This window comes from Homo sapiens, chromosome 9, assembly GCF_000001405.40.
Source record: "Homo sapiens chromosome 9, GRCh38.p14 Primary Assembly".
Classification (NCBI taxonomy): Eukaryota; Metazoa; Chordata; class Mammalia; order Primates; family Hominidae; genus Homo; species Homo sapiens.
In genome coordinates, this window is record NC_000009.12 from 29,270,748 (window position 1) to 29,282,770 (window position 12,023).

Consider the following 12,023-nt stretch of genomic DNA (forward strand, 5'->3'; position numbering starts at 1 on the left):
AGACTCCACCTCTGGGGGCAGGGCATAGCCGAACAAAAGGCAGCAGAAACCTCTGCAGACTTAAATGTCCCTGTCTGACAGCTTTGAAGAGAGTACTGATTCTCCCAGTGTGGAGTTTCAGATCTGAGAATGGTCAGACTGCCTCCTCAAGTGGGTCCCTGACCCTCAAATAGCCTAACTGGGAGGCACCTCACAGTAGGGGCAGCCTGACACCTCACACGGCTGGGTACCCCTCTGAGACGAAACTTCCAGAGGAACGGTCAGGCAACAAAATTTGCTGTTCAGCAATATTCGCTGTTCTGCAGCCTCCACTGCTGATACCCAGGCAAACAGGGTCTGGAGTGGACCTCCAGCAAACTCCAAAAGACCTGCAGCTGAGGGTCCTGACTGTTAGAAGGAAAACTAACAAACAGAAAGGACATCCACACCAAAACCCCATCTGTACGTCACCATCATCAAAGACCAAAGGTAGATGAAACCACAAAGATGGGGAAAAAACAGAGCAGAAAAACTGAAAATTCTAAAAATCAGAGCACCTCTCCTCCTCCAAAGGAATGCAGCTCCTCACCAGCAATGGAACAAAGCTGAACGGAGAATGACTTTGATGATTTGAGAGAAGAAGGCTTCAGGCAATCAAACTACTCTGATCTAAAGGAGGAAGTTCGAACCAATCTCAAAGAAGTTAAAAACCTTCAAAAAAATTAGACAAATGGGTAACTAGAAAAACCAATGTAGAGAAGTCCTTAAATGACCTGATGGAGCTGAAAACCATGGCACGAGAACTGCACGATGAATGCACAAGCTTCAGTAGCCGATGCGATCAACTGGAAGAAAGGGTATCAGTGATGGAAGACCAAATGAATGAAATGAAGTGAGAAGAGAAGTTTAGAGAAAAAAGAATACAAAGAAATGAACAAAGCCTCCAAGAAATATGGGACTGTGTGAAAAGACCAAATCTACATCTGACTGGTGTACCTGAAAGTGACGGGGAGAATGGAACCAAGTTGGAAAACACTCTGCAGGATATTATCCAGGAGAACTTCCCCAACCTAGCAAGGCAAGCCAATATTCAAATTCAGGCAATACAGAGAACGCCACAAAGATACTCCTCGAGAAGAGAAACTCTAAGACCCATAATTGTCAGATTCACCAAAGTTGAAATGAAGGAAAAAATGTTAAGGGCAGCCAGAGAGAAAGGTCGGGTTACCCACAAAGGGAAGCCCATCAGACTAACAGCTGATCTCTTGGCAGAAACTCTACAAGCCAGAAGAGAGTGGGGGCCAATATTCAACATTCTTAAAGAAACGAATTTTCAACCCAGAATTTCATATCCAGTCAAACTAAACTTCATAAGTGAAGGAGAAATAAAATCCTTTACAGACAAGCAAATGCTGAGAGATTTTGTCACGACCAGGCCTGCCCTACAAGAGCTCCTGAAGGAAGCACTAAACATGGAAAGGAACAACCAGCACCAGCCACTGCAAAAACATGCCAAATTATAAAGACCATTGATGCTAGGAAGAAACTGCATCAACTAACGAACAAAATAACCAGCTAACATCATAATGACAGGATCAAATTCACACATAACCATATTAACTTTAAATGTAAATGGGCTAAATGCTCCAATTAAAAGACACAGACTGGCAAATTGGATAAAGAGTCAAGACCCATCAGTGTGCTGTATTCAGGAAATCCATCTCACATGCAGAGACACACATAGGCTCAAAATAAAGGGATGGAAGAAAATCTACCAAGCAAATGGAAAACAAAAAAAGTCAGGGGTTGCAATCCTAGTCTCGGATAAAACAGACTTTAAACCAACAAAGATCAAAAGAGACAAAGAAGGCCATTACATAATGGTAAAGAGATCAATTCAACAAGAAGAGCTAACTATCATAAATATATGTGCACCCAACACAGGAGCACCCAGATTCATAAAGCAAGTCCTTAGAGACCTACAAAGAGACTTAGACTCCCACACAATAATAATGGGAGACTTTAACAACCCACTGTCAACATTAGACCGATCAATGAGACAGAAAGTTAACAAGGATATCCAGGAATTGAACTCAGCTCTGCACCAAGTGGACCTAATAGACATCTACAGAACTCTCCACCCCAAATCAACAGAATATACATTCTTCTCAGCATCACATTGCACTTATTCCAAAATTGACCACATAGTTGGAAGTAAAGCTCTCCTCAGCAAATGTAAAAGAACAGAAATTATAACAAACTGTCTCTCAGACCACAGTGCAATCAAACTAGAATTCAGGATTGAGAAACTCACTCAAAACCGCTCAACTACATGGAAACTGAACAACCTGCTCCTGAATGACTACTGGGTACATAACGAAATGAAGGCAGAAATAAAGATGTTCTTTGAAACCAATGAGAACAAATACACAACATACCAGAATCTCTGGGACACATTTAAAGCAGTGTGTAGAGGGAAATTTATAGCACTAAATGCCCACAAGAGAAAGCAGGAAAGATCTAAAATTGACACCCTAACATCACAATTAAAAGAACTAGAGAAGCAAGAGCAAACACATTTAAAAGCTAGCAGAAGGCAAGAAATAACTAAGATCAGAGCAGAACTGAAGGAGGTAGAGACACAAAAAACCCTTCAGAAAATCAGTGAATCCAGGAGCTGGTTTTCTGAAATGATCAACAAAATTGATAGACTGCTAGCAAGACTAATAAAGAAGAAAAGAGAGAAGAATCAAATAGATGCAATAAGAAATGATAAAGGGGATATCACCGCTGATCCCACAGAAATACAAACTAACATCAGAGAATACTATAAACACCTCTACGCAAATAAACTAGAAAATCTAGAAGAAATGGATAAATTCCTGGACACATACCCCCTCCCAAGTCTAAACCAGGAAGAAGTTGAATCTCTGAATAGACCAATAACAGGCTCTGAAATTGAGGCAATAATAGCTTACCAACCAAAAAAAGTCCACGACCAGATGGATTCACAGCCGAATTCTACCAGAGGTACAAGGAAGAGCTGGTACCATTCCTTCTGAAACTACTCCAATCAATAGAAAAAGACGGAATCCTCCCTAACTCATTTTATGAGACCAGCATCATCCTGATACCAAAGCCTGGCAAAGACACAACAAGAAAAGAGAATTTTAGACCAATATCCCTGGTGAACATTGATGCAAAAATCCTCAATAAAATACTGGCAAACCGAATCCAGCAGCACATCAAAAAGCTTATTGACCATGATCAAGTGGGCTTCATCCCTGGGATGCAAGGCTGGTTCAACAAATGCAAATCAATAAATGTAATCCTGCATATAAACAGAACCAACGACAAAAACCACATGATTATCTCGATAGATGCAGAAAAGGCCTTTGACAAAATTCAACAGCCCTTCATCTAAAAACTCTCAATAAATTAGGTATTGATGGGATGTATCTCAAAATAATAAGAGCTATTAATGACAAACCCACAGCCAATATCATACTGAATGGGCAAAAACTGGAAGCATTCCCTTTGAAAACCAGCACAAGACAGGGATGCCCTCTCTCACCACTCCTATTCAACATAGTGTTGGAAGTTCTGGCCAGGGCAATCAGGCAGGAGAAGGAAATAAAGGGTATTCAATTAGGAAAAGAGGAAGTCAAATTATCCCTGTTTGCAGATGACATGATTGTATATCTAGAAAACCCCATTGTCTCAGCTCAAAATCTCCTTAAGCTGATAAGCAACTTCAGCAGCCTCAGGATACAAAATCAATGTCCAAAAATCACAAGCATTCTTATACACCAATAACAGACAAACAGAGAGCCAAATCATGAGTGAACTCCCATTCACAATTGCTTCAAAGAGAATAAAATACCTAGGAATCCAACTTACAAGGGATGTGAAGGACCTCTTCAAGGAGAACTACAAACCACTGCTCAGTGAAATAAAAGAGGACACAAACAAATGGAAGAACATTCCATGCTCATGGACAGGAAGAATGAATGTCGTGAAAATGGCCATACTGCCCAAGGTAATTTATAGATTTAATGCCATCCCCATCAAGCTACCAATGACTTTCTTCATAGAATTGGAAAAACTACTTTAAAGTTCATATGGAACCAAAAAAGAGCCTGCATTATCAAGTCAATCCTAAGCCAAAAGAACAAAGCTGGAGGCATCACGCTGCCTGACTTCAAACTATACTACAAGGCTACAGTAACCAAAACAGCATGGTACTGGTACCAAAACAGAGATATAGACCAATGGAACAGAACACAGCCCTCAGAAATAATACCACACATTTACAACCATCTGATCTTTGACAAACATGACAAATACAAGAAATGGGGAAAAGATTCCCTATTTAACAAATGGTGCTGGGAAAACTGGCTAGCCATACGTAGAAAGCTGAAATTGGATCCCTTCCTTACACCTTATACAAAAATTAATTCAGGATGGGTTGAAGACTTAAATATTAGACCTAAAACCATAAATACTCTAGAAGAAAACCTAGGCAATACCATTCAGGACATAGGCATGGGCAAGGACTTCATGTCTAAAACACCAAAAACAATGGCAACAAAAGCTAAAATTGACAAATGGGATCTAATTAAACTAAGGAGCTTCTGCACAGCAAAAGAAACTACCATCAGAGTGAACAGGCAACCTACAGAATGGGAGAAAATTTTTGCAATCTACTCATCTGACAAAGGCCTAATACTCAGAATCTACAAAGAACTCAAACAAATTTATAAGAAAAAATCAAACAACCCCATCAAAAAGTGGGCGAAGGATATGAACAGACACTTCTCAAAAGAAGACATTTATGCAGCCAACAGACACATGAAAAAATGCTCATCATCACTGGCCATCAGAGAAATGCAAATCAAAACCACAATGAGATACCATCTCACACCAGTCAGAATGGCGATCATTAAAAAGTCAGGAAACAACAGGTGCTGGAGAGGATGTGGAGAAATAGGAACACTTTTACACTGTTGGTGGGACTGTAAACTAGTTCAACCATTGTGGAAGACAGTGTGGTGATTCCTCAGGGATCTAGAACTAGAAATACCATTTGACCCAGCCATTCCATTACTGGGTATATACCCAAAGGATTATAAGTCATGCTGCTATAAAGACACATGCATACGTATGTTTATTGCTGCACTAGTCACAATAGCAAAGACTTGGAACCAAGCCAAATGTCCATCAATGATAGACTGGATTAGGAAAATGTGGCATATATAGACCATGGAATACTATGCAGCCATAAAAAATGATGAGTTCATGTCCTTTGTAGGGACGTGGATGAAGCTGGAAACCATCATTCTCAGCAAACTATCCCAAGGACAAAAAACCAAACACCGCATGTTCTCACTCATAGGTGGGAATTGAACAATGGGAACACTTGGACACAGGAAGGGGAACATCACACACCGGGGTCTGTCGTGGGGTGGGGGAAGAGGGGAGGGATAGCATTAGGAGATATACCTAATGTAAATGACGAGTTAACGGGTTCAGCACACCAACATGGCACATGTATACATACGTAACAAACCTGCACGTTGTGCACATGTACCCTAGAACTTAAAGTATAATTATAAAAAAAAAAGAAAATCGAAATTCAGCTTTTTTTGCATATCTTGCCTCTGGTATGTGTTCATAATATCTTGAATATGGATATGAATTTTGGTTGCACTGATAATTGAAAGTTTATTAGCGATATAAAGAGACTTAGATGACTCTTTAGCTGCTATCTACTATTCACGCATACTGATAAAACAACAGAGCGTTGTCTTGAATGTGCAAATTTCTGATGGAGAGGTTTGTGTAATATCTGATTCTAGTTCTCCGGGATTTTAAGGCAGAATCAGGAATGGGGGAGGGAGACTAGTGCCAAGAAGAGGCAGAAATCCAGGGTAGAAGTAGCAGTTTGATGCGGCAAAGGGTCAAAATAGAACAAAGCCAGAATTCCAAATGTTGTAGCCATCTTTCCTTGGTTAGATACCATTTCTTTCTCTAAAAATTTAGATATATAATCTTTGCTTCCATACCAGCCTACAGCATTTTTAATTAGTAAAAATTGTCCTAATATACAAAGAATAGAGAACATGGATGTGAATTTGAAATTGCTTGCTTTTCTGAAAATGACTAAACTTTATACCATTATATAAATATTCATTCCTAAGAATTCCATATAGCAATTATTATAGTTTCTCTGATACCTCAATTAATAGGAATAACTATAGCACAGTTCTTACACATTAATTAGCTTTCAGGTATTATCCAGATTGTTTTCCTGTACTGACATCCATAGCCATGCTTCTCCCTTGAGAGGCAGTAGAGTGTAAACAGTGAGGGTGCGGATTCAGGAATCAGGTAGACCTGGGTTCATATTTGGCTCTGTCACTTAGCTATTTGGTATTAAGCAAGTAATTTAGCTTTTCTGCACTCTGGTTTCTTGATCTGCAATGTCAAGATAATAATAATAGTATGTATTTGATTTTTCACATGTTTACAAGATTAGAAGTAACAGATGTAGAGCACTTAGCACAGACAAAGAGCTGAACATATGACAATTAATAAAGGATGTATTTAAATATAATTTTGTTCCAAGAAATGCTTATATAATGATATTTTGTTCTATAGATTTTTCCTAAACTTTGAGAAACTAATTTTCTACCTGAGAGAGGCCAAACTCAAAATCCTTCTCACTTTAGAAAATAAGCTGTAGAAACAGATTCTCGGTGGAATTGTATGTGTTTGGAAACCTATACATCAAACTAAAAATGATTAACTGAATAAAGAAAGAACATGGTTGTTTTTATTTCTTGATGGGATATCAACAACTCTGAGTGTAACTGTGTGATCCTTTTCACTAATACTCTGTCAATTCCTGTCAAAGCAGAAGAAAATGTGCTAGGCTGGTGTTGATGATTCACCCAGATCACTTAAACATCAATTTTTCAGGCACTTCTTATTACTTCTCTGTATTTTTCCCTGTGCAATTTTGAAATGGCTTCTATATTTTTTCTTTCCCCTCAGTTGAAAGCTAAACAGAAAACTAAATTCAAACACTCCCCATCCAAACAAAATACCTTGGAACGTGTACTTGTGCAGCATGATATAACCAGAAACTTAGATATCTGTAATTCTTTAAAAAATAGTATAGTCTGAAGGTTAAAAAATAGTATAGTCTGAAGGTTAAGAAACATTTAAAAATTATGGAATATTCACTTTTCTCTGCAGCCTCACCAGGACCTGCTGTTTTTTCACTTTTTAATAATAGCAATTCTGACTAGTTTGAGATGGTATCTCATTGTGGTTTTTATTTGCATTTCTCTAATGATTAGTGATGCTGAGCTATGTATGTTGGCTGCTTGTATGTTTTCTTTTGAGAAGTGTTTATTCATGTCCTTTGTCCATTTTTAAAATGGGGTTATTTGTTTTTTGCTTGTTGATTTTTTTAAGTTCCCTATAGATTCTGGATATTAGGCCTTTGTCAGATACATAGTTTGCTAATATCTTCTCCCATTCTGTAGGTTTTTTGCCCTGTCTATAGTTTCTTTTGCTATGCAGAAGCTCTTTAGTTTAATTGGTCTCACTTGTCTATTTTTTTGTTGTTGCTGCAATTGCTTTTGAGGACTTAGTTGAAAATTCTTTGCCAATGCCAATGCTGAGAAGAGTATTTTCTAGGTTGTCTTTCAGGATTTTTATACTTTGAGGTCTTACATTTAAATATTTAATCCATTTTGAGTTTATTTTTGCATATGCTGAAAAGTAGGGGTCTAGCTTCAATCTTCTGCACGTGGTTAACCAGATATCCCAGTACTTTTTATTGAATAAGGATTATTTTCCCCATTGCTTGTTTTTGTCAGCCTTGTCAAAGATCACCTTGTAGGTGTGTGGCTTTATTTCTGAGTTTTCTATTCTGTTCCATTGGTCTATGTGTCTGTTTATTTTGTTTTTGCTTTTGTTTTAAACCAGTACCAGGCAGATTTTGTTACTGTGGCTTTATAATATAGTTTGAAGTTGGGTAATGTGATGCCTTTGGCTTTATTCTTTTTGCTTAGGATTGCTTTGGCTATTCAGGCTCTTTTTTGGTTACATATGAACTTTAGAATAGTTTTTTAAAATTTTTATGAAGATCGACATTGGTGGTTTGATAGGAATAGCACTGAATCTGAAAATTGCTTTGGGCAGTATGGCCATTTTTACAATATTGATTCTTCTTATCCATAATAAGCATGAAGTGTTTTTCCATTTGTCAGTGTTTTGTAGTTCTCCTTGTAGAGATCTTTCACCTCCTAGGTTAGCTGTATTCCTAGGTATTTCAATTTTTTGTGGCTATTGTATATAGGATTGTGTTCTTGATTTCACTCTCAGCCTGGTCGTTATTGGTATATGGAAATGCTACTGATTTTTGTACATTGGTTTTGTATCCTGAAACTTTACTAAAGTTGTTTATCAATTCTAGGAGCCTTTTGGTAGAGTCTTTAATATTTTCTAGGTATACAATCATATTGTCAGTGAAAAGAAATACTTTGACTGCTTCTCTTCTTATTTGGATGACTTTTATTTCTTTCTCTTGCCTGATTGTTCTGACTAGAACTTCCAGTACTACGTTGAATAGGAGTGGTAAGAGTGGGCATCCTTGTCTTGTTTCACTTCTCCAGGGGAATGGTTAGAGTTTTTGCCCATTCAATATGATGTTGGCTGTGGGTTTATCGTAGAAGGCTCTTATTATTTTTATTTTTTCAAGATAGGGTCTCACTCTGTCACCTAGACTGGAGTGCAGTATGATGGTCCCCACTAACCACAGCCTTGGCCTCCTGGGCTCCAGCGATCCTTCCACTTCAGCCTCCCAAGTAGCTGGGACTACAGGTGTGGACCATCACACCCAGCTAATTTTTGTATTTTTTGTATAGACAGTGTTTTGCCATGTTTCCTAGGCTGATCTTGAGCTCCTCAGCTCAAGCAATCTGCCCCCTCAACCTCCCAAAGTTTTGGGATTACAGGCGTGAGCAACCACACCCAGACTGCTCTTATTATTTTGAGGTATATTTATTTCATGCCTAGTCTGTTGAAAGTTTCTTATCATGAAGGGATATTGTACTTTATTAAAACCTTTTTCTGCATCTATTGAGAAGACCATATGATTTTGCTTTTGATTCTGGTTTATGTGGTGAATCATTAAATTGGTAAATAATGTAGTAAATCAATAAAATAAATGATAAATCAACATTTATTGATATGCGTATGTTGAATCAGCTTTGCATCCCAGGAATAAAGCCTACTTGATTGTGGTATATTAATTTTGATGTGCTGCTGGATTTGATTTGTTAGTATTTCGTTGAGGATTTTTGTGTCTATGTTCATGAGGGATAGTCCAGCCACTGTGGAAAGCAGTTTGTAGATTTCTCAAATAACTTAAAACAGAAACCCCATTCAACCCAGCATTCCCATTACTGGGTATGTACCCAGAAGAAAATAATTCTACCAAAAAGACACTTGTACTTGTATGTTCATCACTGCACTCATCGTAATAGCAAAGACATAGAATCAACCCAGGTGTCCATCAATGATGGAATGGGTAAAGAAAATGTTATACATATACACCATGGAATACTGTGTAGCCATAAAAAAAAATGAAATCGTGTTCTCTACAGCAACATGGATGGAGCTGGAGGTCATAATCCCAGGCAAATTAATACAGGAACAGAAAACCAAATATTTCATGTTTTCATTTATAAGTGGGAGCTAAACATTGAGTACACATGGACATAAATATGGGAACAAGAGACACTGTGGACTACTAGAGGGTGAAGCGGGGGCTGGGTTACAAAACTACCTATCAGGTACTGTGCTCAATACCTGGGAGATGGGATCTGTACTCCACACCTCAGCATCATGCAATAATCCCCATGTAACAAATCTGTACATACACCCTCTGTATCTAAAATAAAAGTTGAAACAGAAAGATAGAAATGTTGGAAATTTCCAGGAAATACTAGTTTATTGCCATCACTAAACTGAATAAGTTTATTATCCTAAAACTGGGGTATTCTTTTCCCCTCTAATGGTCCACCTAAGAGAGATACTGATTCCTATGACTCATAGTTATTTATACCCTTAATTAGCATTTTTTGCATGAGAACCAATTTATGTAAAATAAAACTATTTAAAGTGACATTTAACAAAATAGTTTTAAAATATATCTTTTAAAAAATGATAAATGATCATTTAAAAATATCTAAACACTACAATAGAATTAAAAAAAACACCAATACCAAGAGAGCGTATCATTTAACAGGAAACAAAAACATATTCAATTCTCTTTTACTTTACTAATTCCCAAAGGGAAAAACTAAATGTATACAACTCTAATAACTTTATTGTACAAAATACTTCTAATGGAAAAAAAAATTGTGTGTGTGTGTCTGTGTGTTTCATATTAGAAAATTAGCAAGAAGGAGGCAGCTTTCTAAATTCTTATACTGAAATTTAATTGAAGACCATATTGTGAGCTCCATTTGACTCATGGATCACAACTTGGTAACAGCTGATATAAACCTATAGCCTACACATCATATTATTTGTTCTTATTTCCAATTCTGCTTGTATGTTTAATTAAATAAGTTCCACTGCCAGTTAGGACTAGCAGCCTCAAGGTTTACCCTTTGATTTCAGTCAACTTAGTGATAGGTTTTTCCGTGGGAACAGTGCCCCTAGGATGCCTAGACACAGCCCACAGTCCCAATGAAGTCTGCAATTTTGTGCTACTGTGTACCTTGGAAACATATCTTTTAACCATCCTCTAGACCCTGGTTTTGCAACTTCAGAACTATTGACATTTCAGATCAGATCGTTTTGGGTCTGTGTTGAGGGGAGGGGTGTTTTGACAATCATTAAGCCATATTCCTGGCTTCTACCCACTAATTGCTAGTACCACAAGCCTCTGTTAGTGACAACCAAGAATGCCTCCAGTCACTGTTAAAAGTCTCTAAGGGGCAAAATTAACCCAAATTAAGAACCACTGTTCTCACCCTTAACTTTGTTGATTGATGATCCGAAGTTCTTACCTTTTTAAGCAATATATCAAATATTGTATATCTTTAAAATGTATGAAATTCCATTCTAACACATGGGGTTTAATTGTTTATTTGTTAATCCTTTGGATGGGTGCTTTGAGGAATGTACATGGTTGGGCTCATTGAAAATATAAAATTTCATTCTTAATAGTCATAACATTAAAGTTTAATGTGAAGAACATTTACCATGGTCCCTTTTGAAGGACTCTGAAGCATAAGGCATACTGAAAACACAACACTTAGCCAATCAAAAATCCTACCTCTTGAAGAACCAGACTCCTTAAGAAAATAATGTTCTATCTTCACCCTAAGGAAATATAACTCGAAATTTTGTCCTAAGAATGTGGGCAGCAAACGGTAACTTACAATTATTGAAAGATCAAGCCCTAGCTTTTTCTCTATTGGAGTTTCTGTTTAAAGGAGAATGTGTAAGGCCTTTAAAATATTTAAGAGGTCTCTAAAAGAAGGAAGTGGAGAGAAACAAATCATGACTATACAACCCTCAGGCTGATTAAGTCAGAGCTGAGGAAGCATTTTATTTCCTCTCTGAAGTCCTAATCTTTTTCTCCTAATTGTATTTTCTTAGGCTGATATGCTTTAAATCTCAGATCACCTAAGTCCTGATTTACTAATTGTCTATTCCATTTTTTCAATCACCCTTTCTTCTCTAGTGTATCACTTCTGACAATCTCTCCTTTTCCTACTCATTTAACCTCAGAAGTGTGATGTAGATCCAGGATTCTATTAGAGAATGAGGCAAAATATTACTAAACTAACCAACCAAATATATGTACTATGTATTTTTTACTGCTCTAAATATAGTTATTAGCAGAATATCTCATTTTTAAATCAGGAGTTATGCTATATATTTAAAACAAAAATATGAACAAATATGAGACTTATCGCTTACTGAATTCATGATTTTGAGCAATTCCTTTATTT